Raw genomic sequence first — 16,325 nt, 5'->3', positions numbered from 1 at the left:
CTTCTCTCAAGCAATCACTGTTCATGCTGGGACAGCCACAGAGAAGTGCTGGGAGGGCTCTCTGCCTTTAGGGTGGTTGGCCACATGATGACCCTCCCCAGAGGCCACACGAGACTAGTTAGCCAGGCCAGCAAGCTGAAACCATGCCCTTGGAAGGGTTTCTCTGAAGGGCTATTCCTCTGCTGAGAAGTCTGGCTTGCCCAAGATCCAGCTGGGATCTCTGGCTCAAGAGCAACAGTGAGCCCTGAGCTGACCATTTTTCTTTCTCTGAGCTTTTTAATGTATTGTTTGGCAACTGGCCTCCCAGCAGAATTAAGAGACCTGCCCTTCCTGGCTTGCATATTGTTGACATAACTCTAGTTGTCATGACTATAATTCAGACTTCACCAGGAGTGCAAATAAAATCAATATACGTCTAGGGATAAAGCTGAAGCTAACAGCCTAACTGCAGAGATTTCAGAAAACCTGAGGAAGCAGAAGAGTAAGTGTGCTGGCATCCTTTACTCCAGCAATACAAACACGGCCCAACGTGGCCAGACGCCCTGCTGGGGGCCTGAGCAAATGGAAAATTCTGAATGCAGAGGATGAAATGCAGAAACACAGAATGTCCCCTGAAGATGAATGAATGCTCAGAGCAGAGCATGCACTGGGCTGCTGACCTCAAGCAGATATTAACTCATTAGAAACGCTCCTGCTGATGTGTCCCAAATCTTGAGTCCATCTCACTCATTTCCAAGTTAGGTAAAGAAAGCGGTGGGGGACCAGGCTCTGAGCAGCAGTCCACAGGCTGGAGACCCCCATGGCTCTCAGTGCTGCCATCCTCCTGTGAAACTGTCCTCCACCCCTGCACCAGGAGGAATCTCCTTTCAGCTCTGATGATGTCTGTTCAGTTCTTTTTTTTTTTTTGAGATGGAGTCTCGCTCTGTCGCCCAGGCTGGAGTACAGTGGCGCGATCTTGGCTCACTGCAACCTCCACCTCCCGGGTTCACACCATTCTCCTGCCTAAGCTTCCCAAGTAGCTGGGCACTGGTCCTAGGACCAGCAGCATCAGCTAGAGGCTTGGCAGAAATGCAGACTCTTGGGCCCCATCCCAGATCTACTAAGTCCAAACATGCATTTTAAACAAAATCTTTGGGTGGGTCCTGTGCACATTTAAGGTTGAGAAATGCTGATCTAAGACAGTTGGGACATTTCTCCAAGTTCCAACATCCCTGTCAAATTCACTCGTCTCTGAGACCCTTTCCACCGTCCACAGTCTTCAATTATTATATAAAACCAGTGGGCAACTCTGGAAAGAGCCCTGAACTTGGATTCCAAAGAGCTCGGATCAAATCTTAATCTTACCCATTTTTGCTGTGTGACTCTGGACAAATGACACTGCCTCTCTGAGCCCCCGGTTCCTTATCTGTAATATAGTAGTAAGAAGACTGTGTCCCTGGACTATGCTGGGCTCTCTCTCTGGACTGCACTGAAGGTGAAATAAGGTATCCTTTGCAAAAGGACTCTAGTGTAGCACCCCATGCTTTATTCCCTCCACCCTGGTCGTCATCTTCCTTTTTTTTTTTTTGTTTTTTGAGACGGAGTCTCACTCTGTTCACCAGGCTGGAGTGTAGTGGTGTGATCTCGGCTCACTGCAACCTCCACCTCCTGGGTTCAAGCGATTCTCCTGCCTCAGCCTCCCGAGTAGCTGGGATTACAGGTGCATGCCACCATGCCTGGCTAATTTTTGTATTTTTAGTAGAGATGGGTTTTACCACATTGGCCAGGCTGGTCTTGAACTCCTGACCTCAAGTGATCCACCTGCCTCAGCCTCCCAAAGTGTTGGGATTACAGGCAGAAGCCACCGCACCCAACATTACTCTGGTCTTCTTTGCTTTGACCCAGAAAGGAGACAAAGTGCAGGAGACTGCACTTTCCTTCAAGCTTCTGGCATGCACCTGCTCCGTGACTGTACACTGAAGGCCTCTGGGATTCAATGAGCAACTGCATGCTGCCTGGGCTAGAGTTCTGTGGGCTAACTCACAGACCAGAAACCTGTGACCTGCAGAGATGTGTGAGGCTACAAATGGGCTTTGCAGGAGCTCATGACCTGTTGTGAGGTTGAGGCACATCCCCGTGGGCTCCCACACCCTCCTAAGGGGGGCAGGAGAGGCAATGGGTCTTGGCTCTAGCTATCCACCCTGACTTCCGGAAAGCCTGCTGAAGCCCTCTAAGGGGTCTGGGTTAAGACTGCAGTAGGAAAAGACCCTGACTTAATAAAATGGCACAAATTTTTAAAAGGAAATAAAAATGGGAACTACAATATGTAATGTTGTGAATAGAATGAAGTGACATTAAATGCAGAAGCTGTAGCATGCTCTTTTTTTCAAAATGGGACTAAAGTACCTCACAGTTTATTGGCTATGATTCAACAACCCAGAATCCAGGATTTTTAGGTTCCTCAAAAAATGGCATATTCACGTTTGGTTCAAGTTTGGCATTGTGATGCCACTTGGAAGACCAGGCTGTGAGACCAGGCAGTGTTCCCTCCTCATTTGAAAATTTACTGATGACTGACACGTCTCACTTTATACCACAGATACATTCTTGAAAAGTCACAATAGTTTGCAATCACTGAAGCTATTAACAATTCAAAGAGCTCCTGCAGTGGCATTCTGTAAAGCAAATCATACAAAATGAATCTGAATATTGCAAACCCAAATTCGCCTACATGGGGGTTATGGTACATGTGTAAAAACATCTGTGTCTGAAGCTATCCATGTGTAATGTGAGAAGCTCTCCACATTCAGCTCCCTATTAGGGGTTTTTTCAAATTAAAATTGAGGGTGGTTGTGACAAATGACTTACATTGTATATCTATGAGGGGCTGGATGGCTGGAGACGTTCATTTTCTAATAGGTTAAAAGTTTGCAGCTGCTAAGCTGTGACAGTGTGACAGTCTAACCCACCTTAACAGCAATTTCAAAGGGTTTAACTTAATACCATAGACACTCTGCTATGTTTGAATTTTATATAATGAATATACACTATATGGAAAATCAGACAGACCATAAAAATAGAAATTTCTGACCTCTAATACAATAGCCCTCTGTCCAGAAATTCTTACAAGGGGTGCTGATTTATCTCCAGTATGAATACAGGTCCAAAGATTCATCTACAGTTAAGAATCAGAAACTGAACCATTACTCCAGGGCTCCCGGTGGGTCCATCTCATCATCATAGAACTCCTGGGCAGCCTCTGAAGTACTGTTTAATGTCTAATTGTGAGAGGTGTTCAAACCAGAGCAACTCCATCTTGAATAGCAGCTGGGTAAAATGAGGCTGAGACCTGTTGGGCTGCATTTGCACTCCTGGGAGGTCAGGCATTCTTAGTTACAGGATAAAACAAGAGGTCAGCAGGACTGTTCTCAGAAGGTACAGACCATAAAGACCCTCATGATAAAACAGGATGCAGTAATGAAGCCAGCCAAAACCTGCCAAAATCAAGATGGCGAGGAAAGCGACCCTCTGGCTTCCTTGCTGCTCATTATATGCTAATTATAATACATTAGCATGCTAAAAGACACTCCCACTAGTGCCATGATGGTCTATAAATGCCATGGTAACATCCAGTGGTTACCCCGTATGGTCTAAAAAGGGAAGGACCCCTCAGTGCTGGGAATTGCCTGCCCCTTTCCCAGAAAACTCATGAATAATCCACACCTTTTAAAGCATATGATCAAGAAATAACCATAAAAATAGCCAACCAGCAGCTCTTGGGGGTTGCTCTGCCTATGGAGTAGCCATTCTTTTTTTTTTTTTTTTTTGAGACGGAATCTTGCTCTGTTGCCCAGGCTGGAGTGCAGTGGCCCGATCTCGGCTCACTGCAAGCTCCACCTCCGGATACACGCCATTCTCCTGCCTCAGCCTCCTGAGTAGCTGGGACTACAGGTGCCCACCACCATGCCTGGCTAATTTTTTTGTATTTTTAGTAGAGACGGGGTTTCACCATGTTAGCCAGGATGGTCTCGATCTCCTGACCTCATGATCCGCCCGCCTCGGCCTCCCAAAGTGCTGGGATTACAGGTGTGAGCCACTGCACCCGGCCCATTCTTTTATTCCTTTACTTTCTTAGTAAACTTGCTTTCACTTTACTCTGTGGACTTGCCCCAAATTCTTTCTTCCATGAAATTCAAGAACTCTCTCTTGGGGTCTGGATTGGGACTTCTTTCCAGTAACGTAACTACATTCCACTTTAAATGTGTTCATTCTCACCTATTTTGTAAATATGTCTTCAAAAATACATGATCTCTTAGCATTCTCGAAAATAAGGCTTTGAGTAATATACTTATCAAAGACAGTTGCAACGTGTGGAGAGATGACAACAGAAGCTTCTTTCTACTTCTAAGATTCCACGGACAGGCCAACGATGACCAACCATAGGAACAAATGAATAATTGTGGATTTCTCCTACCATTTTTTGTACAACGATGAAAGTCCTCTGTATTCACAGCTAATCTGAACAACACTGGCAAAACAACACTGATGGTGATTCATTGCTATTCCATGTAACAGGGCATGGTTAACAGAAATAGCCATGCCATATATAACCAAGGATGCCCAGCACAGCATCATACCTCTAAGGTAATGCCTTTACCTGCACCCACTGCAACGTTAGTTAAGAGAGATCAAGTGTTTCGAAGCAGAAAGCCACAAAGGAACTGAGGGTTTTCACGGTATCGTTAGTGGAATATGGCCTGTGTATTTCTAATAAGCTCCAAGTCATGATATCTATTATCTTCTACTCGGTAACGGGGCAACAGGTTAAAATGATGCTACTTAATGGGCATGACAGCCTCCTGGGTAGCACAGTTAGAGTAAATAAAATGTCCGCTGTTCTCTGGCTCAATACTTCATCTGCTGGGACACGCCAAGCACGCTGCCGCCTGAGGGCCTTTGCAGTTGGGCACTTCCTCTGACCCAGATAGGCACGGGACTCCCTTCTATCTCTGCTCAAAGGATGCTTTAGCCCCGAGGCTCCCTACTCCTTCTGACATTGTCCCTGCACCGGTTTCTGTGGTGCATACTCCCTCCCTCTCTTCTCATTACCAATCCTGTATTTCTCTACTTGTTTGTTACTTTCTTCGGCCACTGGGATGAGCACGCACGGCTCGTCTGTTTTGTTCCCCGGCACAGCTCCAGTGCCTAGGATGGTGTTTGGGGCATGGTGGTCCTCAAATATTTGCAGAAGCAATGAGTAGAGTATATGGGGAAGGCAGCTTTTCATATAACATTTTTAAGAGGCAGAAATGTTGCTTTAAAATAATTTCTACAGCAAGGCTGCCTCTTGTTGTAAAAGTATACCTGCTCATTTTAGAAAATCTAACAGGCATGGATACATCAGAAAAAAGAGAACAAAATTTAAAACATCTATAATTTTATTTTTATTTATTTTTGAGACGGAGTCTCGCTCTATCTTCCAGACAGGAGTGCAGCGGTGTGATCTTGGCTTGCTGCAACCTCTGCCTCCTGGGTTCAAGCGATTCTCGCACCTCAGCCTCCTGAGTAGCTGGGATTACAGGAACATGTCACCATGCCTGGCTAATTTTTGTATTTTTAGTAGAGACGGGGTTTCACCATGTTGGCCAGGCTGGTCTCGAGGTCCTGACCTCAAGTGATCCACCCACCTCGGCCAAAGTGCTGGGATTGCAGATGTGAGCCACCACGGCTGGCCTAAAACATCTAAAATTTTATACTCATTTTGGCAGCATATATACTAAAATCTTATAATTTTATTACCCAGAGGTAATCATTAATAACATTCTGGTGGACATTTTCCTAATCCTTTCTTTTCATGATTTCCTATGTGATACAGATAGAATCAGATTGTTTGTAACCTGCTTCTCCCCTTTGCTTATTGTGAACTTCTGGTTATAAGCACTCTTCTGCCACATGATTTGAGTGACTGCATCATATCCTACTACACGGCTCTACTGTAGCTGATGTAACCATTCCTTATTGTTAGACACCTAGGTTTTTCCTAGTTCTGTTTTCAATGACATGCAGATGAACAATTTTGTGGTCTAAATATGTGTGCATCCTTGAAGTCCCCAGGATAGATTCCTGGATGAATGAAACATTAATTACTTGTTTGTGACCTTTTTGGGGAGGTCACAAACAAGTACCCTTGTGCCCAGCTGCACAAGGACAGACATTTTAATCTCACCATGAATAGTCAAAGAGAAGAGGAAGAAGCCCAGAGTCAAGGCAGCCTAATTCCTGAAGGCAGGCTCTTGGTTTCTTTTGGGTTGTGTGTCTAAATTCACAGTTGGAATTTTTAACTGTACTTCTTTCTCACATGTGGCTGTGTATATGTGTTTTATGTTCAGATGTCAAAACAAAAACACATCTTTTCTTCCACAACACAGAAAGTGGTCTTGGAAGGTGCTATGGTTTGAATGTGTCTCCCTCAAATTCACATGTTGAAATCCTTAGCCCCAAGATGATGGTGTCAGGAGGCAGGGCCTTTGGAAGGTGACTAGGTCATGAGGGTGGATCCCTCACGAATGGGATTAGTGCCCTTATAAAAGAGGCCTTGGAAGCTGGGTGTGATCCCAGGCTGATGCCTCTAATCCCAGCATTTTTGAAAGGCTGAGGCAGAAAGATAGCTTGAGGCTGGGAGTTTGAGAACAGCCTAGTCAACACAGTGAGACCCCCATCTCTACAAAAAATAATTTTAAAAATTAGCCAGGCACAGTGGCGTGCACCTGTAGTCCTAGCTACTCGGGAGGCTGAAGCAGGAGGATTGCTTGAGCCCAGGAATTCGAGGATGCAGTGAACAGTGATTGTGCCACTGCACTCCCGCCTGGGCATCAGAATGAGACCCTGTCTCTAAATAATAAAAACTTTAATAAAAAGAGGCCTGAGAGGCTCCTCATCCCATCTACCATGTGTGGGCAAAGCCAGAAGATGCCATCTGTGAATCAGAAAGTGAGCCTTCACCAGACACCTCACCTGCCTTGATTTTAGACTTCCCAGCATTCAGAACTAAGAGAGAGAAACATATGCAGTTTGTAAGCCATGCAGTTTATGGTATTTTGCTATAGCAGCCCGAGTGGACTAAGACAGAAGGGGAGCTAATTTGTATGGAGAGCTTAACAGTGATCCTTAGTAAGTCAGTCCCCCAAGCCACCCCACTTCCTTCTGACGGCATTTTTCTGGTTGCACAATCCGATCTGTAAGTGCAACCTGGAAATAAGGGCCTGGGTGATTCCTCCCACACAACTGGGTCAACACCTGCTACTTGGAGTTTTCTCCCGGAGGCGGGAATCACAGGTGACCAGCAAATCACAGGCATGAGTCATTCTTTCTCCTGCTGGCAACTGCAGCGAGGGCCTCAGAACCACAGACTGTCAGCCACAGAAGGGTCCCTGGGGAGTCTGACCTGCCTAGGATGCAGATGAAGATGCTGAGGTCTAGAGAGCTAACTTCACCACAGCCTCTGCGCCGCTTCGTGGCAGTGCTGGTGGAGGAAGAGAAGGACGCTCTGTTCTCTACAGAGGCCCTGAAACTAGATGCTGGATCATCCCGTACGTTTCCCTGTGCTAAGGTTGCCCCATCTGGGCTGTAATCTTTGACTAACAGCAGGAGGATGACAGAGCTTTTAGAATTCAAAAGCAACTTGGGGATAGTCTCATCAAGGCTGCCCATGTTACAGATGAGGAGAATGAGCCCAGGGGGCACCGCGATATGTCTAAATCAGTTTTCCATCCTGAGCTCTGAATCCAGAACTCCAGCCTTTGAACCTAGTGCTCTTCCTCCTACATCGAGGGTGAGCAAACTTTTTCTGTAAAGGTCCAGATAGTAAATATTTGTGGCTTTGTGGGCCAAATACTGTCTCTGTTGTAACTCTCCAACTCTGCCATTGTAGCTCGAAAGCTGCAAAAGTGAGTAAAGGAGGGAAGGTGTTCCAATAAAGCCTTAATGGTGAAGACAGGCAGCCGCTGGGGTCTGGGCTGTGGATTGCAGTTCGATGACCCTTGCCCTGTATCACGCAGGTTCTCAAATCACTCATCCTCATTTGCAGTTAGATTTCAGTACAATGTCTGTATCTTCTTAATCTATCACAACAGCGACAATTAAGAATCTCAAGAGCACTAGAATTAAATCACTATTCAGGCTCTTCCACAATGCTTGCTATGCCAGGCAGCACAGGAAAAGGAAATTTTGCAGCCATACAATGGTGGTGAATGAAGTATGTATTCAGCAGAGCAAAATGTAAGGGCAACACATTCAATCGTTTTCTTAACAAGAAATATTTTCATGGACACACCCACTTTGGCTGTTGCCACGGTTAAAATAAATTCACAGGCAGCGAGAGGGCCTCCGTTGTCATGGCAACTGAGCCATTCTCCAAGGAGAAACGTGGGACCCTGACGTGTTGGCACTTTGCCAGATGTGGAAACTGCGAAGTGCTTGGTTCTTTTCATACCACATAATATTCACCTCTAGTATCCCGGTGTGTGATTTTCTTTGCAGCCAACCAAATTTTTCCCTGTTTCCCAGATTTGTCTGTTGATAATTGACACATCTGTTAGGATCGCTAATCTTGGTGGTGCACGCCTTGTCTCACCTGCTAAACACCTCCTGGAAAGGCGGTTTGCCCTTGTACCGCGTTCTCCCCAATTGCTAAATCTCCAGGCTTACATGAGGATTCCCCACCAATGACCTTAAGTTTTTCCATCTGCAACAATGTTTTTCTCCCACCAGGGAGCTAGCTGATGGCACACTTGCGTCTGATGCCCGGCTTAGAGGAAGGCCCAGTGCGCACTGCAACAGCCATGACATAGCATTGTTCGAGAACTTTGGGCACTTAATCATTTTTGGAAACCTATTCCTTTTCCTGCTCGAATGCTCCCCTTTGGAATTACCACCACACTGGCTTTATGGGTTGGCTGTGGCAGGGTCAAGAATCACATGAACTCAGAAACATCATCAAAGTAAATAGTTTTTCAGACTGTCAGCAACATGGCTTCGAAGTGGGTAATTCTCTGGTGCTAAAAAAAAAAACCCGGGGAGATAGAAAATGGGCTGGGGCCCAGTGCAAGCAAGAATAGACTGAAGGAGCCATCCAGCTCTTGGGAAACCCTTGACTTCTTTGCAGCACACTGAAGATCCTCTAAAGCCAAGAAGCAATGGGGAGCACAAGGTGGTGATCTCATCTCTATGTCCACTAAAATGTAAAGACATCCAGGCAACAGTTGATTGCTGTTTGTTGTGTGCAGGTGTCATGGAATCTTTCATTTGCAAATCTTTACTGCCCTCTTGTGGTATTCAGTTTCTGAAGCAACTGCAGTTTGGCTGGGATCTTTTAGCAGAGATCCACCTAAGATTCACTAGTCTGCCTTACCGAGGTGAAGTCCCAGTAAATGGGGCAAGATGGCACAAACAAGACACAAAATTGTATCTACGCAGATGCAAAAAAAAAACTGTATCCTTTATAGTAGATGACCTGAATCACTCACGTAAGTGCCAGGACTTTGCAAAATGCCAACGGAACTATAGAGTGCCAACGGAACTACAGATGCCAAAAGTGGGTTTTAAGATCTCTGGGTGCTCTATTTCTAGAAAACAAAGATCCAAACAGTTGTAGGCCTTTCTGTGTCTCCCGAATCTTTCCAAACCCTTGACTGGGTGCAGACTCTGCAAGCCACAGATCCAAGAAAGGGCCTGGGGGGAAGGGAGGCAGTGAGGGCTGCAGGGGGCCCTGGAGTGGTCCGAGGGAGCCACGGTGTTTATCTTAGAAACAAAGAACGACCTGGAAAATAGTGAGAAGTAACGACAGTTACACGAGGGCAGAGTTCAATGAAAAAGCCACTTCTGGGAAAATCCAATTGAAGCTAAGCGAGCACAGAACAGCAGCTCCTGAAGTCAATAAAAAACAGTAACAAAAAACGCACCCAAGCTATAACTGGCAATAAAACCCAGTTCCCCAAGGAAGAAGGTTCCAGAGCCTTCCCTCCATGGCTGTGCAGCTGCTGCAGAAAGGAAAAACAGGATGACTGGGCATCCTCACAGAGAAAAAAAAAAAAACCAAAAAACAAAACACATCCTATCCCCGAAATGCTGGATACACTGCTCAACTACTCAACGGAAAATTTTTATAAAATGTCTCTGACAGGAGCAAGCAATTTGAAAGCAGGGCCGACTGTCATTAAATTTAGCACAATATTTCCATAATCATTGATTTCATCCTACCCTCACTGAGCCTTTTTAATCCACACCAGTTTTTAAAACCAAGGGGCCTAATTATAGCTCAATGGGACACCTGCTTCCAAGGCTAGCAGCAGCTGCACTGTTCTGGGCTATTCTCTGGGCCCTCTGTGTCAGGCAGCTCACTAGGCGCTCAGGAAGGTGACAAGCATGGGATCTGGGGTCTGCCAGCAGCGGTCTGGGACACCAGTAAAGGCACTGCACACTTCTCTGAGGCCTGTTTCTTCATCTGTAAAATGGGTCAACACTCCCTTTCTCGTCCTGCAGGCTTGGGAGCCTCGCCATCCTGCAGTGGTGAGGGAGTGATCAGAGCTCGGGGCTGGTGGCTGCTGCCATTCTGAGTAGTCTCGCCACAGCCATCGCCTGCTGCCAGGTGGCAGCGTCAGAAGACAAATTTCCATTCCAGGAAGGGGGAAGAGACGAGGGGGTGGAACAGTGAGACCTCTCCTAAAAAGACAGGGGCTTCCCAGCTGCCCTCAGGGGACTTGGACAGGACTGAGGAGCTGGTCTCCAGCAGGAGGGGCTGCCTGAGGGCAAGGTGGAGGTAGGTGTTTCCTGTCTCCAACGGTGGGCACAGGCCTGAGGGCACAAGGGCAGCTGAGGTCAGGACACTTTTCCCTTTACACATGGTATTTGCACCCTAGCTCTCTGGCCCCATGCATGAGGCCTGGCAGCTTGAGGGGGGCGTGGACTCACAAGGGGGCATTCTCCCCAAAGGAAGCAGCGGGTGGGGGGGAACATGGCTGGGATGCAAGTGGCCTCAAAGCAGAGGGCCTCACACCGGAGAGGAAAGGTGTGTGATCGGATCACTTCACCACCGCACGAGATACTCCTGGGATCTCCCAGCTGCAACTGCTGGGCTTTGGAAGTGAACAGAGGTTTTGTCAATGGGCCAGGAGAGAGCCAGGGAGTCTAAATTAATACAATTATTGTGACCCTAAGGGTATCTACAGGCTGTGAGCACCTGGGGGAATGTGAGTCACAAAACGAATACCCCTAGTAAGAGCTGAGACTATGGCTGTGTCCTGCCTGCCCCCACCCAAACCATCAGCTCTGAGCTGGCTGACCACCCATGACCATTGGGAATTCATGGACAGAGCCCTTCCTGCATGATTCTTTGCAGCCTGTCAACAGAGAAAACCAGTGACTGGGGGCCAGACTCGGACTGAGTGTTGACAAGTCTATTTTCAGAAAAAGCCACAAGGTAAAGATTAGCTCATGACCAAGCCAAGGAAGCCACTTTGAAGAGAGGTGTGAGCGAGCGGTGGCACGCTATTATCACTGCCTGGGTCAGGGTGAATTTCCAACATGCGGGTGACATTTTCTTTCTCAGGTAGAGTAGCCTGTTTCTTGTCCTCATAACAAAACCACACAGGAAACATAATAAGCACCAACACAAAACATGTCAGAAAAGAGACTTTGTTGACTTGACACTTCTCATCTCTGTTCTTAAATGAATTCAAGATGGCCTTGCTTCACTGCTGCAGGTGGGAGTAGGGTGGGGTACGGGGAGCAGATTCCTATCTGATGGGTTATTTGTACCTAATGTACAACCGGGGTCTCCCAACTGGGGCCCGGGAGTGGTTTAGAAAGCACAATGAGGTCGGATGCGGTGGCTCACGACTGTAATCCCAGTACTTTGGGAGGCCGAGGCAGGCAGATCACAAGGTCAGGACTTCAAGACCAGCCTGGTGAATATGGTGAAACCCCTTCTTTACAAAAAGTAAAAAAATTGGCCGGGCATGGTGGCGCGTGCCTGTAGTCCCAGCTACTCGGTAGACTGAGGCAGGAGAATTGCTTGAACCCGGGAGGTGGAGGTTGCAATGAGCCAAGATTGCACCATTGCGCTCCAGCCTGGGCAACAGAGTGAGACTCCATCTCAAAAAAAAAAAAAAAAAAAAGGACAACAAAGGGTTCACTTTAACTTGGCAATGGCTTCTTGGAAACCAGCAATGCACAGTGACACCTCCATTAGGGAAAACTCTGTAATTCATAATTCCTGGGGATGGAAGGCAGAGAAAAGGCTGAGTAATGACTGCAGCAAACACAAATCTAGCCAGGCACTGTTCTAGGCACCTTCCATACTTACTCATTTAATCCTCCCAACATCCCTAGGAGGTTGGTCCTTTTACCATTTCCATTTTAGACTTGGAGAAACTGAGGCAAGAGAGATGAGCTGCATGGCTCCAGGCTATACAGCTATGAAATATTGGAGCTGGGATTTGAACCCTTGAACCCAGGCAGTGTGGCACTTCCTCGCCACACCCTGCTGCCTTCTTGGAATGACGAGGTGACAGCCACGTTGCCCAGCAGGTGGGAGAAGAGGGACAGTCTTTAAGGAGAAGGGGACAGGGACAGCCCTTCATTAGAGCTAGGAGGAGCCAGGCAAGAACCCAGGGAGGTGAAAGCCTCACCCTAACTCTTTCTTCTTATTTTTCTCCCCTCTCATTACTTCCCTTTTCAGCCACATCTGAGTTTTTTACACCAGCACCCAGCTTTCCGACATGCTGGGAAACTAAGCTCTGTGATTCAGATGTTTCTTTGGAATAACAAAGTTTTCAACATAATAAAAAGGACACAAACAGCACTCAGGCACGTCAGGCCACACAAGTGGGAGAGGTTTGGGTCCCAAATAGGGTTCCAGGACCCAAGTACGAGTTCCTTCCATCAGAATGGAGGTGTTCCTCTGAAGTAGCAGGGGGTGCAATGAGAGGGGTTTACTTGGTTTTTAAACAGGAACTGTTTCCACCTCCTGGAGTGATCAAGAGGTGCCTCTTTCCTCTGAGAATGCTGGAGGGTTTTACTCCACAGGAAGAAGTTGCACAGAGGCTCAGTGTATTCAGGTGTGGCCAGCCTCTGGAGATGTGTATCCAAAGTCAACACCCTGCATTGAATCATGGGACAGGGTTTTCAAACACAGACAAGGGCGGGGTGGAGGGGGGGCAGTAACAACAGAAGCCTTGAAAGGCAGTTTTCACACACAGTATTTACCACACTCTGCAAGACTTAGGAAACCTCAAGGAATATTTTTTTTCTTTCTCATTTCCAGTATCTCTAGGTCACAAATCTCCTGTGGTTCCTCTAACAGGCACATCTGCAGGGTGAGATACAAGTTCTAGAGATGAGAAACTCTAAAAACATTATTTATTAGATGCTGTCTTTAGGACAGTGTTTTTGAGAGAGCATTAGATGTGGATTCCAGCTTGGGGTCGGGGAGTAGGGTTTCTCCCCTTGCAAATCCTCCACCCGAGCATTTGAGGGTTTAAATTTTCCAGTTTGATCTAATGCGAACATAAAAGCACTGCGACAATCTTGGGCTGATTTTAATTACGAACACAGGCAATACGCTGAGAGCACAGCTGGTGTGTGGCCCTAACCAGCTTCCCAGAAGAGAGTGGCGCTATCAGAAATGACAATAATAGACCAGGTTTTTAAAACCATTTACATGCAAGTTGCAAAATTCCCCTCCATAGTTTGGGGATAGAATGGTTGATTAGATTGCAACGATTGAGTTGGGAAAACATTAAAAAATGAGAAAAAATGAAATAAGAGTGAGAAGGATTAAGTCAGGCATTAAGAACATCAGAACAATTACAGGATTTCAGCCTATGATATATTACACTACATCATCCATATGAACACACTCATGTAGTGTAAATACACCATACTGATTGCATGCTAATGCAGATGTATGCCTATAAAACTTAAAATGAATCTTAACTCATATGTGATTGAAAGATATTAACAGAAAGAAAGGAAAATGAGCTGTCCATTTAAAGATGCACTCTTTCTGTTCATTGGATGGATGCTTTCAATACAGACTTGAACTTTAATCACTGATAGGAGGTTTTGATATTTGCTTGGTAAAATTTTATTTATTTATTTATTTATTTTATTTATTTATTTTTGAGATGGAGTCTTACTCTGTCACCCAGACTGGAGTGCAATGGTGCGATCTCGGCTCACTGCAACCTCCGCCTCCCGGGTTCAAGTGATTCTCCTACCTCAGCCTCCCGAGTAGCTGGGATTACGGGCACCTGCCATCATGACTGGCTAATTTTTGTATTTTTTTTTTTGTTTTTTGGTAGAGACGGGGTTTCACCATGTTGGGCAGGCTGGTCTTGAACTCCTGACCTCGGGTGATCCACCTGCCTCGGCCTCCCAAAGTGCTGGGATTACAGGTGTGAGCCACCGTGCCCAGCAGGTAAAATTTTAAACTAACCTAATCTGAAGAGGAGGGGAGACTGGTCTATTCTCTGGGTGATTAAGACATGGCATTTTTTTTCATGGGAGGGCCGTGGCTGCTTGGAAGGGAGCACACAGACTAAGACACAAGTAGGTGTGAGATTCAAGCTACCAGAACACGCGGTGCATCCTTAAGGGTGGAGAGCATGGCTGCAGGCTGAGGCCCGGGAGCCACAAAAACCAAGGCAAGTGTTTTGTGGAAGGAAAGTGGATGAGGAAAGAGCAGAGGAAGAACTACCTTTAAGAAGCGGACATGACAGCCCTGTAAAAGACAGGAGGAGGAGAAAAACTGCCAGGTTAGTAGGAGAAATGTTACACACAGGAAGTGCTACACACAATTAGTGGTGTGAGAAAACGAGATTGAGTACAACACAGCACAGGTTCCAATTATGATGCAGGCAGGCACAGCAGACAGACGGTGACCCCGAGACACAGCACCAGGGTCAGGAGAGAAGGTGCGGTGAACCTTCCAGTGCACTCTGCTCCGGAGGCACCCCAGGTGCAGGTCTCATTTGACCCTTGGAGGGGTAGGAAGTAACTCTTCCTTGTTTGAATAGTGAAAGGCCTAGAATCAAGCTTTATGAGGACAGGACCCTTCTCTCCTCCTTGTGGCATTTCCATGTCTGAAAGTGGTCTCACATCAAACAGCTCCACTACATTCAGGGATGTGTTTTGCTATCGGCCAGTTCACATGACGGGGTCCTGGAGTATTTGGCGAATCGACTCGTTTGAGGTAGCACATAGCAAGGTGCCCAGTAATGTTATATACAGATTGCCATTTTTCAATAAATGATGATGAAACCAAACCCGCTTACCATGAAAACTATTAGTAACAAGATTTTGTTTTTTCTTGATGATTCAGAAGGCTCTTCAATATCTTGGAAGTGCCCAAGATGACTGACGAAACATAAGCTGGTGGGCAGTGAGTTAACCAAGCTCCAGTTGACTGAATGCCACACAACCAGGGTTTGCTTTTCTTTTTACTTTCAACTTCCACCGAAAAAGAAAAAGGGAAAAAAAAAAACCTATCTTAACTGGATAACTTTCCTTTCTCAAGTACTAATGTGAGAAAAATAAGTTAAAATCATCTCAGAAGAGGCCGGGCATGGTGGCTCATGCCTGTAATCCCAGCACTTTGGGAGGCTGAGGTGGGTGGATCACTTGAGGTCAGGAATTCAAGACCAGCCTGGCCAGCATGGTGAAACCTTGTCTCTACTAAAATACAAAATTAGCCAGGTGTGGTGGCTCAAGCCTGTAGTCCCAGCTACTTGGGAGGCTGAGGCAGGAGAATTGCTTGAACCCGGGAGTGGAGGTTGCAGTGAGCTGAGACTGTGTTACTGCATTCCAGCCTAGGCAACAAAAGCAACACTCTATCTCAAAAAAAAAAAAAAAAAAAAAAAAAAAGAAATCATCTCAAAAGAGACTTCTCTACAAGGATTCATGAAGGTGAGACTTCTCTACAAGGATTCATAGGGGTAATCCCCCAACTTCATAAGCAGTGAGAGGTGGCTTCCAGGAGAGAATTTGAGAGGGATCAGATGATCAGATTTCTGAACCAAAATCCCACAGCCTGAATGGGTCATCACAGCCCTGAACCTGAACAGAGGAGATCAGAGGCAAACCAATCCTACGTGCTCAGTAAGGCTTTGTCTACTAAAATGAGAAACTAGTCAAATCATGAGTTTTGCATCTCTTTTACCAGGTATGGGTTATCTTCTATTCCAATTTATCATTATGGGCCTTTAAAAGTCAGTAATCACAAATCCATTTATGATTGTTCCTAAAATAGGCCATTTTGTTCCAACCCCAAAAACTCTATTTTAGGATAG

The 16,325-nt window shown here is 46.2% G+C and overlaps 1 protein-coding gene across 6 annotated transcripts in view, besides 3 other annotated features; it reads right to left on the bottom strand.

Moving 5' to 3' along the window:
- The window catches only part of PRKCA (protein kinase C alpha), a 508,131-nt gene that overhangs the window by 85,542 nt on the left and 406,264 nt on the right, over nucleotides 1–16,325 (bottom strand). The window lies entirely within an intron of this gene.
- Nucleotides 2,465–2,966: an enhancer, noted in NCBI's record as "NANOG hESC enhancer chr17:64718354-64718855 (GRCh37/hg19 assembly coordinates)". NCBI's record gives its function as "activates a minimal SCP1, AML or CMV promoter by ChIP-STARR-seq in primed H9 embryonic stem cells {active_cell/tissue: H9 hESC(primed)}" and the evidence as "EXISTENCE:reporter gene assay evidence [ECO:0000049][PMID:30033119]".
- Nucleotides 10,013–10,709: an enhancer, noted in NCBI's record as "H3K4me1 hESC enhancer chr17:64710611-64711307 (GRCh37/hg19 assembly coordinates)". NCBI's record gives its function as "activates a minimal SCP1, AML or CMV promoter by ChIP-STARR-seq in naive H9 embryonic stem cells {active_cell/tissue: H9 hESC(naive)}" and the evidence as "EXISTENCE:reporter gene assay evidence [ECO:0000049][PMID:30033119]".
- Nucleotides 11,340–11,399: an enhancer, noted in NCBI's record as "active region_12615". NCBI's record gives its function as "activates an Ori minimal core promoter by ATAC-STARR-seq in GM12878 lymphoblastoid cells {active_cell/tissue: GM12878}" and the evidence as "EXISTENCE:reporter gene assay evidence [ECO:0000049][PMID:35858748]".

The sequence above is a fragment of the Homo sapiens genome, chromosome 17 (genome assembly GCF_000001405.40).
Source record: "Homo sapiens chromosome 17, GRCh38.p14 Primary Assembly".
NCBI classification, from domain to species: Eukaryota; Metazoa; Chordata; class Mammalia; order Primates; family Hominidae; genus Homo; species Homo sapiens.
The sequence above is the reverse complement of the archived record's forward strand: the minus strand, read 5'-3'. Positions and strand labels throughout refer to the sequence as shown.